Genomic DNA, 23,960 nt, shown 5'->3' on the forward strand with positions numbered 1-23,960 from the left:
TTTTACACTCTTTTTTCCTGCACATTTTTCCCTTGTAGTTTTATTGTCTTACAACTGCAATGATCAGCTCTTTCCTGATGACTCCTAAGTAGATGTCTCTAAACTTGACATCTCTCCTAGATCTAGGTCTCAGACCCACTAGATATCTCTCTGAATATTTTCAAACTTACAACAGTGAACATTGAGGAAGCTACAATAAATTGTAATAAAACATTACACGCATCGTAAGGAAAACAGATAATGTGCTAAGAGAATTCTAACAGGCAGAAAGGACTTCTGAGATTGTGTTCCCATTTGTCTTGTTCTTTGTTTTCTTCAGAGACAGGATTTTGCTCTGTAGCCCAGGCTGGCATATAGCGGCACAATCATAGCTCACTGTAACATCAAACTCCTGGGCTGAAGTAATCCTCCTGCCTCAGTCTCCAGAGTAGCTAGGACCACAGGCATGCACCACTTAGCCTGGCTAATTAAAAAAAAAAATAATGGAGATGAGGTCTTGCTATGTTGCCCAGGCTAGTCTCAAATTCCTGGTTTCAAGTGCTCCTCCTGCCTTGGCCTCCCTAAATGCTGGGATTACAGATGTGAGCCACCATGCCAGTACTGTCTTGTTCTTAAAGTTCTGATTTAACCGTTTAAACAGTATGTATAGAATTTTGCATAGGAAATAAAGATCAAAACCATAGAGATGTGAGAACCACTTGTAAGGGCTAGAGGGCAGTAGCAGTGAGATGAGTTAAGGGTCTCCTGTATTAAGGCCAGAGGAGACAACAGTGGCTTGAACATCAGGTGTAGCAGTGGTCATAGGTAAGTTTGTTGGTGAAATGGACCCTGCCTGAAGTTTTATGGAATTAACCTTCACTGACATCAGCTTATATGGAACAATAATATTGAAATAATACAGATAATATAGATGTGTTTTCAGTGATATCTAAATAGAATTGTTTATTAGCTAGAATTTAAGTTTTATGGGAGTAGGAAACTTTGTATTCTGAAATGCCAAATATGCTGAGATATGTGCATGCCACCTACAGTTTTTATACTGAAGTCCTTAATGAAAGGTGGTATTTGGAGACTCAAGTTTCTGGATAGTGATACAAAGAATCATTTGAGGCTTACAAAATAGTGATCATTTGGCATTTTAAGTTGATGTAAGCAAGAAGACATGTCTGTCATTTCATGTACATCTGTATAGTCTTCACCTCAACCTGAATCTCTGTAAGAAAATCAATAGAACTTCCTGTCAGGATTGCTTTAATGCAACTTATCTGTGGGCAACTCTAGTTATAGAGAAGAATTCTGCTGGTATTAAAGTGCTGAAGTGAAATTATGTTAAATTTTTGCTGATTTTAAAACAAAGAAACCTGTTAGCTATTATGACTTCTAAACTTTAAATGTATGCTGCTGTAAACATCCATATGCAGAAACCTCAAAAACAAAATGAGATATGATTAATCACCTTTCAGAAGCAGAGTTTGATAAAAGCAAGAATGCAGTTCAGCTGTTTACAAGTTGAAGCTTCTATAGGAAAAATATTTCAGGGAAAGATATATAGTTTGTTTTTTATTGACTTATGTAAGCACTTTACCTTTTGAGCTCTATAAAAAAATGAACTCTTTCTGGGAAGAGATTCTTCTTTTATGACTATATTACTCATATCATGACAATTCATTGAATAGTAAAAGACATTGATGATGTGTTTGGTGTGAGGTAGAACTCTTGTCTTCAAAGGACAGGAGAAATTTATCTTTCCACATTTATTTGCAAGGTGTTTTCAAATAACTCTTCTGATAGCATATGACATATCCATTAGCCCTGGACCTAAGAGGAGTAAGTTATGGGTATTTAGAATGGTTCTAAGCTGAGACACCCAGTCCCTTCCACCCAACCACATTGGCATCCATTTAGATAGGTACAATTTTGAAAATCTCTTCCCAGGAAAGAGCCAGATTGTCACAGTATGCAAGAAAGTGTTGTGCATAGCAAAAGAAACTTAGGTAAAGGATATTTAAGAAGATTCAAACATCAGTATAAGGGCGATCTGTGCAGAAATTTTATTAAGCAAGGGGATGAGCAACCAGGAGACTGCTTGTCACATAAAATGTTCAGGCAGAGAATGAATGTTCATCTTTCAGGACTATTGAATACTAAGGGTGATAGATCTGATTAAATCATCCAAGTTTCCTCCAAACTCTGATATTTTAGAAAAGGTTTCTTAGGCTTAGAGGCCATTAACTTTTGGTTGACTGGTAATTCAAGTAAGTCGGCTGTTATAGAAGCAGATTCAGATATAGGGATTTGGGGTGCGTGTGACTTTATTGAGACAGTGGTCTCAATAAAAGCAGATTGAGAGAAGCAGTATAAGACAGGGAAGTAGTTAAACAAGGATATGGTTTCAGCTGAGTTTTGCTTCAGCCTGATCCCATGGGAGCTGTGGAGCATAAATTGTGCGTAGAGTTGCTCTCACCTGGAGACGAAGAGGGTATAGTTTTAGACCCCGGTTAGTATTGGTCAGTAATCGGCTATGAGAGGGCACTACATTGCAGGTGAGGTGGCTCTTAAATGGCTAATGGCAGTTCTCTAGAGAAAAAGACAGCTGTGAATTAAGAGCAGCTAGTACTCAGAGCAACTGGGGGATGGGTGTGCTGGCCCTATCTACTATGCTAGCAAAAGGATTCTCCTATGTATTAGAAACAAAAAATAGGAACAAGAGTGAGCTGCTAGAGGGAAGCACAGCACTGACCCCACAACAGCCATACATGAAAACTGACCATATGTTTGAGGCCATGTAACATGGAGATGGATATTCCATACACAACTACATAGCCTTAAAGGCATCACAGCACATACAAAGAACAGATGCTCATAATGCTGACCTAGAGTCAAGAAGAAAAAAATCTATACTTTATTAGAATATGCAATTGAAAAAGCAGGGACCATCCATATTTTTATACTTTAATTGCTTAAATCACCAGTCCCTAGTTATTTAGAAAAGAAACAGAATAGTTGTGAAAGTGCTTGGTGAGTAGTTAACCTATTACAACTTTTAGAGCATTAACCATAGGGCCATCAGGTAGACACGTAAGAAGCTGTGCCTTACAAAGGTAAGTACTTTTTGAAAAAGGGAACCGTTTTAGAGAGTCTTACATTTTGAGACTTAGAATATTAATGTGTCTCAGTTTACTCTCAGGAAGGTGTGCAGGAAAGAAGTACTTTGTGGTTTCTATTGAACAAGTGGGCGATTTTAAGGCTGTTGCCCAAACTAGGTAACAAATTGCATCATTCTCATTGTATTTTCAACAATTGCCACCCTCTTGGCCCATCTTATCTGTTATTCCATGAACACCTCATCAAGTTTCACCCTCCAGTGCTTATTTTCAAACTGTTTTACAGAAACTTTTGGTATAATTCCTATAGCTCATCAAGTATCAAAGGCTGCTTTTTATATGTCAATGTTCTCTAGAAAAATTTTAATGTTTTTCTTCTTCAGTACCATAATACTACCTTTGACTGGGCATTTTTGTCGAAGAAGGAGTGTTCAAAATACGGAGGAAACCTCGTCGGGAACAACTGTAATTTTGTTCCTGATATCACACTCATGTCTTTTATCCTCTTCTTGGGAACCTACACCTCTTCCATGGCTCTGAAAAAATTCAAAACTAGTCCTTATTTTCCAACCACAGTAAGTACCTGAACTTTAAATGATTTTCATTGGATTTACACTGTATCAACAATAATACAACTTTACAAGGTGAAAAAGGCACCTGTAATTCAATGTGTCCAATATAATTTTGTGCGTTTTAAACATTACACTTCAATCTTTGTTCATGTGCATACTTATTAACGTAAGTCTAGTCAAGCTTTGGAAAACCTTCCAAGGACTTTCTCACATAATTCTGTCATATACCTCTCATAATTCTGAATGTGCTGAAAGGAAAAAAAATGAGATGAATTATATTTAAAAATGCATGAGTGAAGAAAAATACCTTTTAAATTCATTGTGTTTAAGTACATAATCAAAAACTCTTCATGTTTATCAGGAATTTCCATGGTGTAGAATTTCTTCAGCAGCTGTACATTTGAGTATTTTAGTACTTGAATTATGGGCTGTGGGAGTAAACTTAAATTGTGTTGTTACACAAGTATTGGTGTAAGATATGACTGTCATATGAGCCAAACTTTCCTTCCCGTAATGATGAATGCCGTAGTACAGAGAAACAGATAATTAAACTGGGTTGTGCAAACATCCTGTCTCCCATTAAAATGCCTGAGTGAGCTTAGTCCAAACTGTGGGTTCATGGAGATGCTATAAGAAAAGACTAATATTTAGTTAATGGCATTTTGGTTTTTTGCCTGCAGAATCAAACTAAGATAATCCTTTGCTTTACAGTTCAGTTCTTAGTGTTTAGGATGTCAGTATTTCTTAGGCAATCTTGATTACACCTGATTTATATCAGTGACCTGCTCTGTACAGCTGACATCTCATGAAACAGCTCTTCTTGCATTATATGTAAAAGGAATGGAAGAATTTTAAAATATGAGATGCACTTGATGAAATTCCTTTTTCCAAATTCTAGGAAATGAAAATATATTTACTTTCACCTAGAAAATTTTTGACTCTCTGATTCTTCTTACAAAATTGAAAATAAACAGAAGGGTTGATAATGAAATGTCTAGAAGTAGATAGCCCAAGGAATGAAAAATTTCCACAAAGTGAAATTTAGAAAGAAGCATTCAACTTAGTCTGCTTAACATGGGCATTACAAGCTGGTGATCCACAGGCAGAAAGAATTCAACCCACAGCCATTCTTTGTTTAGCCCACAGTGTGTATACATACAAAAAAACACACTCTCTCTCTCTTACTTGAGACTTTTGGTAGAATCTGTACTTTGCAGATAGTTACTGTTTTCCCAGCTCTGTGTTGTCTAAGAATTGGCTGTTTCATGCATTCAGATTAACTGCCTGTTCTTAAAGACACTGGGAAATGTGCTTTCTTGATACACCTCTTCAACTGTGTGGGTTTTGTGTAGAACAGATTCCTGGGTAAAAGTCTTTGAGGACAATTTTTTTTTTCTCTTGAGGTTTTTCCTTCTTAATAAGTAATTTATTGGGCATCTTGGATTTTGTTTGTTTGTATTTTTGGCTTATACTTTGTAAATCATCACCACCTGCCAAAGTCTGATATAATTTAAGTATAGTAAGTAGAAAAGTGGAAAATTTGTGAAGCACTTATAAGTCATAATTTGCAAAATAAACTAGTTTCAACTTTGAGATGAATGGAGATCCTTTTTCTAAATTTTAAAATCTTAATTGACCAATAATAATGTAAACTATATATTTCTGGAGTACAATGTGACATATGTATATGTTGTGGAATGATTAAATCAAGCTAATTAACATATCCATTACCTCACATACTTATTTTTTGTGATGAGAACATTTAAAACCTACTCTTTTAGCAATTTTAAAATATACAACACATTATTATTAGCTATAGTCATCATGCTGTGCAGTGGATCTCAAAGACATATTCCTCTTGTCTGATACTTTGTACGCTTTGACCAATATCCTCCCATTCCCCGCCTCCAGTAGGCACCATTCTACTGTCTACTTATATGAGTTTGACATTTTAGGTTTCACGTGTAAGTGAGATCATGTAGTATCTGTCTGTCTGTGCTTGGCTCATTTCACTTAACATAATGTCTTCCAGATAACATAATGTTATCCAAATTATTGCTAATGACAGAATTTCCTTTGTTTTATGGCTGGATAGTATTCCACTGTTTATATGTGCCACATTTTCTTTATTCATCTGTTGATGAACACTTAGGCTGATTCCATATCTTGGCCATTGCGAATAATGCTACAAAGAACATGAGAGTGTTGACATCTCTTTGAGATCATGATTTCATTTCTTTTGGATACATACACAGAAGTAGGGTTGCTGGATCATATAGTAGTTCTGGTTTTTATTTTTTGGGGGAAACTTTCATACTGTTTTCTGTAATGGCTGTTCTAATTTACATTCCCACCAACGGTGTACAAGGGTTACCTTTTCTCCACATCATCACCAACACTTATCTTTTGTCTTTTTGATAATAACCATCCCAACAGGTGTGAGGTCATATCTCATTGTGGATGTAATTTGTAGTTCCCTGATACTTCATGATGTTGAGCATTTTTTCATTTATCTTTTGGCCATTTATGTTTCTTCTTTTGCAAAACATCTATTCAGGTCCTCTGTCTATTTATTAGGTGAATTGCTGTTCAGTTTTAGTTTGATGCAATCCTGTTTGTCTATGTTTGCTTTTGTTGTCAAAAAATAACCTTATGTTGAAGTGTAATGATAGGTTATTTGATATTAACAATAATCTTTGCCCAGACTAATGTCATGGAGCTTTTCCTTTATGTTTTCTTTTAATAATTTTACAGTTTCAGGTCTTATATTTAAGTCTTTAATCCCTGGCTATTTTCTTTTTTTTGTATTTTTAGTAGAGACAGGATTTCACCATCTTGGCCAGGCTGGTCTTGAACTCCTGACCTCGTGACCCACTCGCCTTGGCCTCCCAAAGTGCCGGGATTACAGGTGTGAGCCACCCTGCGTGGCCTTAATCCATTTTGAATTGATTATTGTATATGGTATGAGATGAGGGTCTAATTTCATTATTCTGCATGTTGATATCTAGTTCACCTAGCACTATTTATTGAAGAGATTGCTGTTACCCCATTGTGTGTTCTTGGCATCTTTGTTGAAAATCAGTTGGCCATAAATGCATGGATTTATTCCTGGACTCTGTTCTATCCCATTGGTCTAGATGTCTGTTTTTCTACCAGTACCATCCTGTTTTGATTACTATAGTTTTGTAGTAGATTAGTGTGATGCTTCCAGCTTTCCTCTTTTTGCTCAAGATTGGTTTGGCTATTTGGGGTCTTTTGTGATTTGATACAAATTTTAGGATTACTTTTTCTATTTGTGTAAAACATATCATTGGAATTTGGATAGGGTTTGCTTTGCATCAGTAGATTGCTTTGGTAGTATGGACTTTTTAATAATACCAATTCTTCAAATTCATGAATACAGGATATCTTTCCATTTACTCCTGTCTTCTTCAATATCTTTCATCAATTCTTTATAATTTTTGAAGTATAGCACATTCACCTCCCTGGTTAAATTTATTCTTAAATGTTTTATTCTTTTGTAGCTATTGTAAGTGGGATTGTGATTTTTTTTTCAGATAGGTTGTTGTTGGTCTATAGAAACACTACTGAATTGTATGTTGATTTTATATTCTGCAACTTTACTTAATTTTTTTATTACTTCTAAAATTTTTTTGGTGGAGTCTTTATGTAAGATCATGTTGTCTGCTAACAGAGACAATTTAACTTCTTCCTTTCCTTCCTTTCATAGGTTATATGTGTCTAGGAATTTACCCATTTCTTCTAGGTTATTTAGTTTGTTGTTGTATAATTGTTCATAAGTATCTCTTAGAGTTTTTTTTATTTCCTTGTTATCAGGTGTAATGTCTCTTTTTAATCACTGAATTTATTTATTTCAGTCTTCTTTTTTTTTTAGCCTAGATATTGGATTGTTGGTTTTGCTTATTATTTATTTATTTTTATTTTTAATTTAATTAATTAGTTAATATTTTTTGTTTGTTTGTTTGTTTTGAGACAGAGTCCCTCTCTGTCACCCAGGCTGGAGTGCAGTGGTGCCATCTCAGCTCACTGCAACCTCTGCCTCCCTGGTTCAAGCGATTCTCCTGCCTCAGCCTCCCAGGTAGCTGGGACTACAGGGGCGTGCCACCATGGGACCTGGCTAATTTTTTGTATTTTTAGTAGAGATGGGGTTTCACCATAATAGCCAGATGGTCTCGATCTCCTGACCTTGTGATCCCCCTGCCTAGGCCTCTCAAAGTGCTGGGATTACAGGCGTGAACCACCATGCCTGGCCTATTTTATTTTATTTTTGAGATGGAGTCTTGCTCTGTTGCCCAGGCTAGAGAGCAGTGGTGCCATCTCAGCTCACTGTAACCTCAGCCTCCTGGGTTCAAGGGATTCTTGTGCCTCAACCTCCTGAGTAACTGGGATTACAGGCGCTTGCCACCGCGCCCACTAATTTTTGTATTTTTTGTGGAGACGAGGTTTCACTATGTTGACCAGACTCATCTTGAACTGTTGATCTCAAGTGATCCACCAGCCTCGGCCTCCCAAAGTGTTGGGATTACTGGCGAGAGCCACTGCACCCCGGCTGATTTTGTTTATCTTTAAAGAAACCTCAACTTTTAGTTTTGTTAATTTTTTTAACTTGTCTTAGTCTTTATTTCTTCTTTGAGTTTTATTATTTCCTTCTTTCTAACAATTTTGAGTTTAGTTTGTTTTTGTCTTTCTAGCTCCTTGACATGCTTCCTCAGGCTGTTTATTAGAAATCTTCTTTCGATGTAGTCATTTATTGCTATAAATTTCACTCTTAGAACTGCTTTTGTTGTGTCCCATGGGTTTTGGTATGATATATTTCCATTCTCATTTGTCTCAAATTTATTAATTTCATTTTTAATTTGTTTACTTACACATTGGTTATTTAGTAGCATACATATTCAGGAGCATAAACTTCCATGTGTTTGTAAAGGTTTCAAAGTTTTCCTTATTGTTGATTTATAGTTTTATATTGTGGTCAGAAAAGATACTTGATATGATCTCTGTTTTCTTAAATTTTCTAAGACTAGTTTTGTAGCCTAGCATATGATCTGTCCTGGAGAATGTTACAAATGCAGTTGAGAAGAATGTGTATTCTGTAGCAGTTGGATGGAATATTCTGTAAAGGTCTGTTAGGTCCATTTGATGTATGGTGCAACTGAAGTCCAATGTTCCTTGTTGATTTTCTGTATAGATGATCTGTCCATTGTTGAAAATGGGGTATTGAAATTCACTATTATTGTATTGTCTTCTGTTTCTCCCTTTAGATAGAATAATAATATTTGCTTTATATGTTTGGGTACTCTGTGATTAGGTGCATATAGATTTATAATTGTTTTATTGAATCGATTCTTTTATTATTATATAATGACCTTCTTTGTCACTTTTTACAGTTTTCGACTTAAGTATATTTTATATGGATACCTCTGATCACTTTTGGTTTCCATTTGCATGGAGTATCTTTTTCCATCCTTTCATTTTCAGTCTGTTGTCCTTAATAGTGAGGGGATCTCTAGTAGGCAAACTATAGTTTGGTCTTTTTTTTTTTTTGTCCATTCATTCCCTCTGTATCTTTTCATTGGAGAACTTAATTTCATTTACATTCAAGGATTTTATTGATAGGTAAGGACTTACTCCTATCATTTTGTTAATTGTACTTTAATTATTTTAATATCCTTCATTCTTTTCTTCCTCTCTTGTTTACCTCTGTGGTTTGGTGCTAAGCTTTGTTTCTTTTCCCTTTCTCATGTGTTTATCAGCTGTAATTTCTATCTTTGTGGTTGCCATGGGGCTAACATAATGAGTCTTGTAATTATAATACTCTATTTTAAGCTGATAACAACTTAACTTTGGTCACGTTAAAATACTTTAGACTTTTTTGCTCCCTCCCACAATTTATATGTTTGTTACCTTAATTTACTTTCTTATCTACTGTGTGTTTCTTAGTCACTAATTATGGCTTTTCTTGTTTTCGACCATTTTAAGTTTAAACCTTCATACTAGAGATTGAAAGATTTATGTAGCACCATTATAATTCTGTGTTTGATTATGAATTTACCTCTACTGGTGAGTTTTATACTTTCATGTATTTTCATGATAATAAATATCATCCTTTTGTTTACAGTTGTAGCTCTTAAGCATTTTTTATAAGACTGATCTAGCAATAATGAATTCCCTCAGCTTTTGCTTGTCTGGAAAGATCTTTATTATAGCTTTGCTGGATGTGGTATTGGCTAACAGTTGGTTTTTGTTTCCACACTTTGAATATATTATCCCATTCTCTCCTGACTGGCAAGATTTCTGCTGAGAAATCTGTTAATTTCCTAATGGAGATTCTCTTATATGTGACTTGATGCTTTTCTCTTGCAGCTTATAGAATTCTCTCTTTGTCTTTAGCTTTTGACAGTTTGAGTATTAATATGCCTTGGAGAACATTGTTTAGGGTTCAGTCCAGTTGGGAACTTTTGAGCTTCTTGGATCAGGACATCCATATTTCTCCCAAGACTTTGAGGTTTTCAGTCATTATTTTGTTAAATAGGTTTTCTGTTATTTTATTTGTCTCTTCTTTCACTGTCACACATATAATGCAAAGATTTATTCACTTAATTCTTATTTATTTTTTCCTCTGACTTGATTGGGTTAATTCAAAAGATGACTTCAAGTTCAGGAACTCTTTCATCTTCTTGATCTAGTCTGTTCTTGATGCTATCAGTTGTTTTTTTTATTTCTTTCACTAAATTCTTCACTGCCAAGATTTCTGTTTGATTCTTTTTTATGATATCTTTCACTTTTTTGAATTTTTCATTCAGATCATGAATTATTTTTCTGATTTCACTGAATTGTTTGTATTCTATAGTATCTCTCTGAGCTTCTTTAAGATCATTATTTTGAATTCCTTTTGATCTATTCTATAAATATTCTTTTTTTGGACCTCCTACTGAAGACTTATTGTGTTTCATGGGGGGGGGGGTGTTATTATTATTTTTCTTTTTTGCTTTTTTTGTATTTTTTTTAAATATCCAACCTCTATTCTAATTCAGGGTACATATACAGGATGTGCAGGTTTGTTACATAGGTAAATTTGTGCCATGGTGGTTTGCTGCACAGATCATTCCATCACCCAAGTATTAAGCCCAGCATCCACTAGCTTTTCTTCCTGATTCTCTCCCTCTTCCCACCTCCCCCTCCCAACAGACCCCAGAGTGTGTTGTTTTTCTGAATGTATCCATGTGTTCTCATCATTTAACTTCCACTTATAAGTGAGAACATGTGGTATTTGGTTTTCTGTTCCTGCATTAGTTTGCTAGGGATAAATGGCCCCTAGCTCCATCCATGTCCCTGCAAAGGACATGATCTTGTTCCATTTTATGGCTGCATAGTATTTCATGGTGTATATGTACCACATTGTCTTTATCCAGTCTATGACTGATGGGCTTTTAGGTTGATTCCATGCCTTTGATATTGTGAATAGTGCTGCAGTGAATATATGTATGAATGTGTCTTTATAATTGAACAATTTATATTCCTTTGGGTGTATATCCTGTAATGGATATATAAAACTTTATATATAAAATGGATATATATAAAACTTAAAATATATCCAGTAATGGATATATACCCAAAGGCTTTTTCTCCACAACTTTGCCAGCATCTGCTATTTTTTGACCTTTTAATAATAGCCATTCTGACTGGTGTGAGAGAGGATCTCATTGCAGTTTTGATTTGCATTTCTGTAATGATTAGTAATGTTGAGGTTTTTTTTTTTCATATGTTTGCTGGCCACATGTATGTCTTATTTTGAGAAGTGTCTTTTCATGTCCTCTGCCCAGTTTTTAATGGGATTTTTTGTTTTTTTCTTGAAGTTCCTTATAGATGCTGGATATTAGACCTTTGTCGGATACATAGTCTGCAAAAATTTTCTTCCATTCTGTAGGTTGTCTGTTTACAATGATGATCGTTTCTTTTGCTGGGCAGAAGCTCTTTAGTTTAATTAGATTCTGTTTGTTAATTTTTGCTTTTGTTGCAATTGCTTTTGGTGTCTTCATCGTGAAATCTTTGCCCATGCCTGTGTCCTGAACGGTATTGCCTAGATTTTTTTCTAGGGTTTTTATGGTTTGGGGTTTTATGATTAAGTATTTAATCCATCTTGAGTTAATTTTTGTATATGGTATAAGGAAGAGGACAAGTTTCAATTTTCTACATATGGCTAGCTAGTTCTCTTGGCACCATTTATTAAATGGGGAATTATTTCACCATTGTTTGTTTTTGTCAGGTTTGTCGAAGATCAGATGGTTGTAGGTGTGTGGTCTTATTTCTTGATTTTCTATTTAGTTCCATTGGTCTATGTGTCTGTTTTTGTACCAGTACCATGCTGTTTGGTTTCTGTAGCCCTGTAGTTTGAAGTCAGGTAGCATGATGCCTCCAGCATTGTTCTTTTTGCTTAGGATTGCATTGGCTATTTGGGCTCTTTTTTGGTTTCATATGAATTTTAAAATAGTTTTTTCTAATTCTGTGAAGAATATCAATAGTATTTTACCTGGAATAGCATTAGATCTTCAAATTGTTTTGGGCAGTATGGCCATTTTAACATTTTAACATATTGATTCTTCCTATTCATGAGCATGGAATGCTCTTCCATTTTTTTCTGTCATCTCTGATTTCCTTGAGTGGTGGTTTGTAGTTCTCATTGAAGAGGTCCACTTCCATCATTAGCTGTATTCCTAGGTATTTTATTCTTTTTGTGGCAGTTGTGAATGGGAGTTCATCTGTGATTTGGCTTTCGACTTTCCTGTGGTTGGTTTAAAGTAATGCTAGTGAGTTTTGCACATTGATTTTTTATCCTGAGACTTAGCTGAAGTTGCTTAGCAGCTCAAGAACCTTTGGGGCTGAGATGATGGGGTTTTCTAGATACAGTTTTATATAATCTGCAAACTAGGTAGTTTGACTCCCAGTTTGGAAAACGCATTTCAGGATATCATCCAGGAGAACTTCCCCAACCTAGCTAGACAGGCCAATATTCAAATTTTGGAAATGCAGAGAACCTCAGCAAGATACTTCACAAGAAGGTCGTCCTCAAGACACATAATCATCAGATTCTCCAAGGTTGAAAGAAAAGAAAAAATGTTTAGGGCAGCCAGAGAGAAAGGCAAGATCACCTACAAAGGGAAGCCCATGAGACCAACAGTGGGCCTCTCAGTGGAAATCCTATGAGCCAGAAGAGATTGGGGGCCAATATTTAACATCTTAAAGAAAAGAAAATTGAACCTAGAATATTGTATCTCACCAAACTAAGCTTCATAAGCAAAGGAGAAATCAAATTATTTTCAGACAAGCAAATGCTGAGGAAATTCGTCATGACCAGACCTGCTTTACAAGAGCTCTTGAAGGAAGCACTAAATATGGAAAGGAGAAACCCTTACCAGCCACTACAAAAACACACTGAAGTACACAGACCAGTGACACCATAAGGCGACCACATAAACAAGTCTGCAAAATAACCAGCTAATATCATGATGACAGGATCAAATCCATACATAACAATTCTAACTTTACATGTAAATGGGCTAAATGCCCCAGTTAAAAGACACAGAGTGGAAAGCTGCATAACAAACCAAGACTCATTTGTATTCTGTCTTCAAGAGACCAATCTCACATGCAAAGACACACATAGGCTTAAAATAAAAGGATGGAGGAAAATTTACCAAACAAATGGAAAACAGAAAAAAAGCTTGGGTTGCAATCCTAGTTTCTGACAAAACAGACTTCAAACCAACAAAGATGAAAAAAGACAAAAGGTATTACATAATGGTAAAGGGTTCAGTTCAACAAGAAGAGCTAACTATCCTAAATAGAAATGCTTCCAATAAGGGAGCACCAAGATTTAAAAAGCAAGTTATTAGAGACCGTCAAAGTGACTTAGACTCCCACACAATAATGGTGCAAGACTTTAATACCCCACTGACAATATTATACATATCATCAAGAGAGAAAATTAACAAAGGTATTCAAGACCTGAACTCAGCTCTGCATCAGGTAGACTTGATAGATATCTACAGAACTCTCTGCCCCAAAACAACAGAATATACTTTCTTCTCATCACCACACAGCACTTACTTTAAAATTGATCACATAATCGGAAGTTAAACACTCTTCAGCAGATGCAAAAGAACTGAAATCATAACAGTCCCTCGGACCACAGTGTAATCAAATTAGAACTCAGGATTAAGAAATTCACTCAAAACCATAAAACATGGAAATTGAACAACTTGCTCCTGAATGACTTTTGGGAAAATAATGAAATTAAGGCACAAATCAGGAAGTTCTTTGAAACTAATCAGAACAAAGAGACAATGTACCAGAATCACTAGGATGTAGCTAAAACAGTGTTAAGAGGGAACTTTATAGCACTAAAAGCCCACATCAAAAAGCTAGAAAGATCTCAAGTTAACAAGCTAACATCACAGCTAAAAGAACTGGAGAACCAAGAGCAAACAAACCCGAAAGCTAGCAGAAGACAAGAAAAACCAAGATCAGAGCTGAACTGAATGAGGTAGAGACATGAAAAACCCTTCAAAAGATCAACAAATCCAGGAGCTGGTTTTTTGAAAAAATTAATAAAATACATAGGCCACTATCTAGACTAATAAAGAAGATAAGAGAGAAGACTCAAATAAACACAAGCAGAAATGATACAGGGGGATATCACAACTGACCCCACTGAAATACAAACAACCATTAGAGAATATTATCCCTTAATAGTGTTTATAATATAAACACCTCTATGCACATACACTAGGAAGTCCAGAACAAATGGATAAATTCCTGGACACATACACCTTCCCAAGACTGAACCAGGAGAAAGTTGAATCCCTGAATAGACCAATAATGAGTTCTGAAATTGAGGCAGTAATAAGTAGCCCAACAACCCGAAAAAGCCCAGGACCAGATGGATTCACAGCTGAATTCTACCAGATGTACAAAGAAGAGCTGGTATCATTTCTACTGAAACTATTCCATAAATTAAAAGGAGAGACTTCTCCCTAATTGACTGTATGAGTCCAGCTTCATTCTTATACCAAAACCTGGCAGAGATACAACAAAAAATGAGAAGTTTAGCCAGTATCCTTGATGAACATTGATGCAAAAATCTTCAACAAAATGCTGGCAAACCAAATCCAGCAGCACGTCCAGCTTATCCACCACGATCAAGTAGGCTTCATCTCTGGGATGCAAGGTTGGTTCAACATATACAAATCAAGAAATGTGATTCATCACACAACCAGAACTAAGGAAAAAACCATGTGATTATCTCAAGAGATGCAGAAAAGGCCTCTGATAAAATTCAACATTCGTTTATGTTAAAAACTCTCAATAAACTAGTTATTAAAGGAAGATACCTCAAAATAATGACAGCCATGTATGACAAACCCACAGCCAATATTATACTGAATGGGCAAAGGCTGTAAGCATTCTCCTTGAAAACCAGTACAAGACAAAGATGCCCTGTCTCACCATTCTTATTCAACATAGTATTGGAAGTTCTGGCCAGGGCAATCAGGCAAGAGAAAGAAATAAAGGCTATTCAAATTGGAAGAGAGGAAGTCAAACTAGCCTTTTTATATTTCTTGTGTCTCTATGTTGATATCACACATCTAGTGAAATAGTCATTTTTTAAAATTCATGGAGTATCTTTTGTAGGGAGGGATTTTTTTTTTTCTGTAAATGGGTCTTAGGGTGTCATTTGGTATAGTATATTGGCTTTCATTCTGGGTAGACTCAGTAGCATGGTTGCCATACATTTTCTTCAGCTTAATTTTTGTAAGCAATCTGTGATTGCCTTAGTGGCCTACTTCATGGGGGTTTGTGATGGTGGTAGTGTGGTTTTGCTAGGCTCTTTAGAATGCCTGGGCCAGTTTCAGAACTGGGAACATTTGTGCATGATGGGTCAGCAGGCTGTGTGGCCAGCAATCTGGGGTTTGGGGACCAGGGGTGCCACCAGGTAGCCTCTTGGGTAAGGAGCATGGCAGACTGGCTAGCTGTTCAGTGACTTTCCTGCTTTGCAGGTCCTCTTGTTCCTCATGGGTGAAGATGCCCCATGGGTTTGAGCAATGGGTTCTTAGTTGTACTGTTGGTTCTATGCTTTGTACACCTGGGGTTGTGGTGCTGCAGGCACCTGTGTAAACATGGTGAAATGAGGGTGAGGCCTCAAGGATGGAGAGAAGCAGTGGCTTCTGGGTCCCAGGACAGGATTCCCTCTAACAGTTAGTCCAGTTTAAAGATGGTGCCATGCCATAGCACCTTAGTTTGCAGGGTAGAGTATATACAACCTGAGCTCCTACTCTGGGGCAATGCAGCTGTGTAAACTCCTAGAAACTCCCTAATCTGAATTTTGGACTTGTGAGGACAGGGGACTCTCCTGTAGCAAGGACTTCTGGTATCTCTGGTGGCTATGGGGATTTCTGGGGGCCTCCAGTTTGTCTTTTTGTCATAATAATAAATCTTCCTTGATTCTGAGCCAATCCCAGCAAGAAGATAGTGTGACGAAGCAGAAGGATGCCTTTTCCTTTGTCTATCCTGGGCTTTCACACTCCATAGGGATTTCACTGCTTCTCCGGATCTCTCCCAACATAATTTCTATCACTCTAATGTAAATGTAATTATTTATTTGCTATTTTGGTCCCTTTTTGTGGAGTGGATGAGTGCCAGGCAATTCTAGTCGGCCATCTTAATGAAGTCTGAAATGAAAATTTTTATGTCTTCTTATGAATTGATCCCTTTATCATTATATGATGACTTTCTTTGTCTTGTTTTTTTTTACTTACAATTTATTTTATCTGATGCAAATACAGACATCCTTGTTTTCTTTTGGTTGCATCCTTTCAGTTTTAAACTACGTGTGTCCTCAGAGGTGAAATGAGTCTCTTTTAGGCAGCATATAGTTGGATCTTAAAAAAATAATCCATTCAGCCATTCTGTCTTTTTAGTGGAGAATTTAACCCATTTACATTCAAGGTAACTTTTATAGGTACAGACTTTCCACTACCATTTTGTTAATTATTTTCTGGTTAATTTGTAGATTCTTCGTTCTTTCCTTCCTCTTTTGTTGTTTTCCTTTGTGATTAGATAATTTTTTCCACTGTGTTTTGATTTCTTACTTTTTATCTTTTGTGTGTCTTCTAGAGATTTTTGCTTTGTGGTTACCATGAGGCTTACATAAAACATCTTACAATTATAACAGGCTATTTTAAGATGATAACAACTTACCTTTCATTGCATAAAACAATTTTGTACTTTTACTTTATATCTCCCCCAATAATTTTTTTATGTTTTGGATTTTACAATGTATATCTTTTAATGTTATATATCCCTGAACAAATTATTATAGCAATTATCATTTTAAATAGTTTTGTCTTTATCCTTTATATCAAATATATAAGTAATTTACACCTTACAATTACAGTATTAATTTTCTGAACTTAACTATACACTTACTTTTATCAGTGAGTTTTATACTTTCAAATGTTTTTCAGTTACTAATTAGAATCCTCTTCTTTTACCCTGAAGAATTCTCTTTAGCATTTCTTGTAATACAGGTCTGGTGGCAGTGAACTTGCTCAGCATTTATTTGTCTGGGAAAGTATCTCTCCTTCATTTTTGGAGGATAGATGGTATTCTTTTTTGGCAATGTTTTCCCCTTATGCTCTTTTTTTTGTTTTATTTTGGAGATTTGTCTTTTATTTTTCATTTTTTAAGGTGTCTTTAGTATTTATTAGAATGTAAATAAAGCTGAGTGCTAATTTTCTCTAAACTTAAAAAATACAACTTTGATCTGGGCCTTTGATACTTTTGGTCTATTTTATTTTATTTATTGCACAAATTTATGGGGTATGTGTGAGATTTTGTTATATGTGTATAACAAAAGGTTATAAGGGTATTAAGGGTATCTATCACCCATTTTCAATACATTTTTGTTAAGTATAGTCACTCTAACCTTTTATCAAACATTGAATTTGATCCTTCTGTCTGTATCATTATACCTATAACCAAATTTATTCTCTGCCCTACCCCCATCACCCTTCCCAGATTCTGTTAACTGTCTTTCCACTCCCTACCTCAATGTGATCAAATTTTTTAGCTTCCACATATGAGTGATAACATGCACTATATGTCTTTCCGTGCCTGACTTATTTCACTAAACACAATGACCTTCGGTTTTATCCATGTTGCTGAAAATGACATTATTTAATTCTTTTTATGGCTACATAGTTTTCCATTATATATGTATATGTCACATTTTCTTTATCCATTTATCTGTTGATGGACACATAGTTTGATCCCATACCTTTGCTATTGTGAATGGTGCTGCGGTAAACACGTGAGTGCAGATTTCCTATCCCTTTGATATAGTGATTTCCTTTCCTTCGGGTAGATTCCCAGTACTGCGTTTGCTGGATCAAGTGGCAATTCTGTTTTGAGGTTTTTGGGAAATCTCAATAGTGTTTCCATAGTGACTGTGGTAGTCTACCACAGTCTACCAACCATATAAAACATTTCTACCAACCATATAAAACATTTCCTCTTTCTCTGCATCCTTGTCAACATCTTATTTTTGGTCTTTTTAGTAATAGCTACTCTGACTGGGGTAAGATGATATCTCATTGTAGTTTTGATTTGCATTTCTCTGATGATTAGTGATGCTGAGCATTTTTTCATATACCTGTTGGCTGTTACTGTGTCTTCTTTTGAGAAATGTCTATTCGTGTCCTTTGCCCACTTAAATGGAATTATTTGTTTTTCTTTTCTTGAGTTAAGTACCTTGTATATTCTAAGGTTAGTCCCTTGTTGGATGAATAATTTGCAAATATATTTTCTCATTCCATAGGTTGTCTCTTCATTGTGTAGATTATTTCTTTTGTTGTGCAGAAGCTTTTTGGTTTAAATCCCACTTGTCTATTTTTGTTTGGTTGCCAATGAATTTCAGATCTTAATCATAAATTATTTGTCTACACCAATGTCCAGGAGAATTTTCCCTCGGTTTTCTTCCAGTATTTTTATAGTTTTGGGTCTTACATATAAGTCTTTAATCAATGTTGAGTTGATGTTTGCATATGGTGAGGTAGGAGTCCAGTTGTATTCTTCTGGATGTGGGTATCCAATTTTCCCAGCACCATTTATCAAAGAGGGTATACTTTACCCAATGTAAGTTCTTGTCAGCTTTTTTGAGGATCAGTTAGCTGTAAGTGTATCTTTATTTCTGGATTATCTACTCCGTTCTGTTGGTCTACGTGTCTATTTTTATAGCAATACTATGCTGATGTGGTTACTACAGCATTGTAATATATCTTGAAGTCAGATAATGTGATGCCTCCAGCTTTGTTCTTTTTGCTGCTCAGGATTGCTTTGGCTATTCAGGCTTCTTTGTGGTTCTATATGAGTTTTATTAAATAGGATTTTTTTTTCTAATTCTGTGAAGGTGGCAGTATTTTGAAACAGATCGCATTGAATCTGCAGACTGCTTTGTACATTATGGTCATTTTAATGGTATTAATGCTTCTGATCCATGAGTGTGGGAAGTTTTTCTATTTGTGGCCTCTTCATTTCATCAGTGTTGTGCAGTTTTCTTTCTAGAGATGTTTCACCCCCTTGGTTAAATTTATTCCTAGGTATTTTATTTTATTGTATTGTATCTCTTGTAAATGCAATTACCTTTTAAATTATTTTCTTGGCTAGATCTTGGTGTATAGAAATGCGACTGGGTTTTGTGTGTTGATTTTGTATCCTGCAACTGTACTAATTTTTTTAATCAAATCTAAGAGATTTTTGATAGAGTTTTGGGGTTTTATTAGATGTAAGACTGTATCGTCAGCAAAGAGGCACAATTTAACTTCCCCTTTTCCAATTTGGATGTCTTTTATTTCTTTCTCTTACCTGGTTGCTTCAGTTAGGACTTCCAGACTGTGTTGAATAGGAGTTGTGAAAGTGGATATCCTTGTCTTCTTCCAGTTCTTAGAGGAAGGGCTTTCAACTTGTCCTCATTCAGTATGACATTAGTGGTGGGTTTGTTGTACAAGGCCTTTATTATTTTGAGGTAGGTATGTTCCTTCTATTCCTAGTTTATTGAGAGTTTTTATCATGAAAGGATGTTGTATTTTATCATATTGTTTTTCTGCATTGATTGAGATGACTGTATGATTTTTGTTCTTTATACTGTTGATGTGATGTCACATTTATTGATTTGCATTTATTGTGCTGAGCTATCCCTGCATCCCTGGGATAAATCCCACTTAATTGTGGTATATTATCTTGTAGATGTACTGTTGGATTTGGGTTGCTGGTATTTTGTTGAGAATTTCTGCATCTGTGCTTATCAGAAGTATTGACCTGTATTTGTCTTTTTTTCTATTCTTGTCTGTTTTTGGTATCAGGGTGATATTAGCCTCATAGAAAGTATTAGGGGATGATATGGTTTGGATTTATGTCCCCACCCATGTCTCACGTCAAATTGTAATCTCCAGTGTCAGAGGTGGGGTTGGATTATGGGAGCAAATTTCCCCCTTGCTGCTCTCATGATAGTGAGTTCTCACAAGATCTGGTCATTTAAAAATGTGTAGAACCTCCCCCTTCACCCTCTTCCTCCTGCTGCAGCCATGTAGGACATGTCTGCTTCCCGTTTGCCTTCCATTATGATTGTAAGTTTCCTGAGGCCTCCCCAGCCATGCTTCCTGTACAGTCTGCAGAACTGTGAGCCAATTAAAATTCTTTTCTTTATAAATTACCCATTCTCAGGTAATTCTTTAAAGTAATGCGATAATTGACTAATACAGAAAAATTCCCTCCTCTTCAATTGTGTGGAATAGTTTGAGGAGGATTGGTTAGTTCTTTGTTTTTGGTAGAACTCCACAGTGAATCTATCTAGTCCTGGGATTTTCGTTATTGGGAGACATTTTATTACTGATTCAAAATCACTACTAATGATGGATCTTTTGAGATTTTCTATTTCTTACTGATTCAATTTTAATTGGCATGTTTCCAGGAATTTATCCATTTCCTCTAGGTTTTCTAGTTTATTATTCTATACTTGTTCATAATAGTCTCTCACGATCTTTGTATTTTTGTTGTATGAGTTGTAATGTGTCCTTTTTCATTTCTGATTTTACTTGGATGTCTTCTTTCTTTTTTTCTTGTTTAGTCTAGCTAGCAGTTTATTGGCTGTGTATATTTTTTGAAGAACCAACTTTTTGTTTCATTGATTCTTTGTATTTTTTTAGTCTGTATTTGTTAGTTCTGCTCTGATCTTTATTATTTCTTTTTTTCCTGATAGTTGTGGATTTGGTTTGTTCATGGTTTTCTGTTTCCTTGATGTGCATTTTTAGATTGTTAACTTGTAATCTTTCTACTTATTTATTTATTACTGTAAACTTCCTTCTTCATACTGTTTTGCTGAATTCCACAGGTTTGGGTATATTAGGTTTTTATTTTCAGTTGTTTCAAGAATTTTTTTGATTTTCATCTTAATTTCTTTGTTGACTCAAAGGTCATTCAGAAGCACGTTTAATTTCTATATATTTTTATAAATTTCCGAAGTTTATATTTGTATTTATTTCTAGTTTTATTCCATTGTGGTCTGAGAATATAGTTGATATGATTTTCATTTTGTGAAAATTTTTAGAAATTGTTGGTGGCCTAATCTATGGTCAGTCCTGGATAACATTCCATGTGCTGATGAAAGAAATATATATTCTGCAGTTGTTAGGTAGAATGTTCTGTAAATGTCTGTTAGGTTCATTTGGTCTAAAGTTCAGTTTAAATCGGTGTTTCTTTGTTGATTTTTTAAATCTAGATTATCTATTTAATGCTGACAACGGGGTGTTAAAATCTTCTACTGTTATTGTATTGCATTCCGTCTTTTCAGGTCTAGTAATATTTGCTTTATGAATCTGGGTGCTCCATTGTTGGGTGCATCTATTTTTAGAATTGTTATATCCTCTTCCTGGATTGGTTGCTTTATTTCATATAAAATGACTTTTTTAAAACTGTTCTTGACTCAAAGTCTGTTTTATCTTACGTAAGTATAGCTACTCTTGCTCACTTCTGGTTTTCATTTGCATGGAATATCTTTTTCCATCCCTTTAGTTTCAGTCTATATGTCCTTACTGGTAAGGTGAGTTTCTTATAAGTAGCATATAGTTAGATGCTACTTTTGTAAGTCCAGTCAGCAGTTCTATATCTTTTAAGTGTAGAATTTAATCTGTTAATATTTAAAGTTATTATTTATATGTGAGGCTTCATTTCTGTCATATTACTAATAGTTTTCTGTTGTTTTGTATATTCTTTCTTCCTTTCTTTTTCTCTTATTATTTGTGGTTTGGGGGATTTCTTTTTTTTTTTTTTTTTTTTTTTTTTTTTTTTTGAGATGGAGTCTCGCTCTGTCACCCAGGCTGGAGTGCAGTGGCATGATCTTGGCTCACTGCAAGCTCTGCCTCCCGGGTTCACGCCATTCTCCTGCCTCAGCCTCTCGAGTAGCTGGGACTATAGGCACCCGCCACCACGCCCGGCTAATTTTTTTTGTATTTTTAGTAGAGATGAGGTTTCACCGTGTTAGCCAGGATGGTCTCGATCTCCTGATCTCGTGATCCACCTGCCTTGGCCTCCCAAAGTGCTGGGATTACAGGCGTGAGCCACCGCGCCCAGCCAAGGGATTTCTGTTAGTGGTACTATTTGAGTCCTTTTTCTTACTCTTTTGTGTGATTGCTTCACCAGTAATGGCTGTGCTCCCAAAATGGTGCCCTGCCATAGCTGCTCAGGTCTTAGTGGGGTGTGAGTGACCCAGTGCAAATTCCCAGTCTGGTGTACTGCCCCACTGGGTTTCTAAACCACCACCCTTGCTAATGTCAGTGTTCATGTGGGTAGAGGAGCTCTTCTGTATTTCAGATTGCAGCCGACTGTGTAAGGGATGTGGACCACTGAAGTTCTCTTAATTACCCTTTCCCTGCAATATGGAACCCCTCTAGTCTTTCTAGCCACTTGCTTTCTTCCTTATCTGTGCCTCAGGTGTTTTCTGTGAGTTCCTTCTTGGACTCTTGTGGTCTCTCCTATGTGTTCTATTCGAGGTATGTTTCTCTAGTCATAATTTTGGTTCTTCTTTCTGGAAAGAGTAGGTGTCTGTAGTCAGCCATCTTGCATCAGAATCCTTCTTCAGCTCTTTGAATATATCATCCCAGTCTCTCCTGGATTGTAAAGCTTTTGGTGCAAAATACACTGCTAGTATTGTTGGAACTCTCTTGTATGTGATTTGCTTCTTTTCTCTTGCTGCTTCAAGATTTTCTCTTTGTATTATATTTTTTGTCAATTTCATTATATCTTGATATAGTATTTTTATGTTGAATCTGATTGAAGACCTTTGACCTTCCTATAGCTAGATATTTATATTTCCCTAGATTTGAAATATTTTCTGCTATTATTTCTTTAAATAAACTTCCTACCCCTTTGTCTCTCTCTTTTTCTTCTTGCTCTCCTATAACTTGAATATTTGTTCTTTTGATCCTGTCACATAAATCTTATAAACTTTCTTCATTCTTTTTATTGTTTTTTTTCTCTACTGACTATATATTTTCAAATAACTTGTCTTTAAGTTCACAGATTCTTCTGCTTGATCAGTTCTGCTGTTGATGCTCTTTATTGCATTTCTTAATTTTCTTAATTATATTTTTTGGCTCCAGAATTTCTATTTGTTTTTCTTTTAATAATTTCATTTAAAATTTTGAATGTAAGTAATTTCAGTCTCTGTTACATTTCTAGTTTTGGTCATTTATTGTTTTCTTGATTTTGTAGCATCCTGTCTTTTTAGAAAGTTTGCTGGGCTTCCTTAAAATAATTATTTTGAATTCTTCGATAGTTCATATATCTTCATTTTTGAGGGATGATTACTGGGGCTTTATTTTTTCCTTTAGTGGTGTCATGTTTCCTTGATTGTTCTTGGTCTTGTAGCTCCTGATTTGTTTCTGTGCATTTGAAGACATAGAGACTAATTTCAGTCCTTGCAGAATGTCTTTGTCTGGAAAAGTTTTTCACCAATCAGCCTGTCTAGAGATTATGGCAGGTTTTCTGTTGTGTTCCACAGGCAGGCTTGCTGCAGGACTTCCCAGTTAGGCTGACCTGGTTCTTGTGTAAACAGGTGAGTGCACCTGGCACCTGGGTCCATGGTTTGGAACTGGAGCCTAAGTCCTTGAGGGCAGGCCTGGGGCCTGGGTCCATGAGGGCTGGCCTAGAA

At 35.7% G+C, this 23,960-nt stretch overlaps 1 protein-coding gene across 13 annotated transcripts in view; it reads left to right on the top strand.

The window, feature by feature from the left end:
* The window catches only part of SLC4A4 (solute carrier family 4 member 4), a 509,424-nt gene that overhangs the window by 431,354 nt on the left and 54,110 nt on the right, over positions 1-23,960 (top strand). For all 13 annotated transcript variants that reach the window (XM_024454268.2, NM_001440628.1, NM_001134742.2 and 10 more), the window contains one exon: positions 3,488-3,679. In XM_024454268.2, coding sequence (XP_024310036.1) covers positions 3,488-3,679 — 192 coding nt within the window. The remainder of the gene's footprint in view (positions 1-3,487; positions 3,680-23,960) is intronic.

The sequence above is a fragment of the Homo sapiens genome, chromosome 4, assembly GCF_000001405.40.
Source record: "Homo sapiens chromosome 4, GRCh38.p14 Primary Assembly".
NCBI classification, from domain to species: Eukaryota; Metazoa; Chordata; class Mammalia; order Primates; family Hominidae; genus Homo; species Homo sapiens.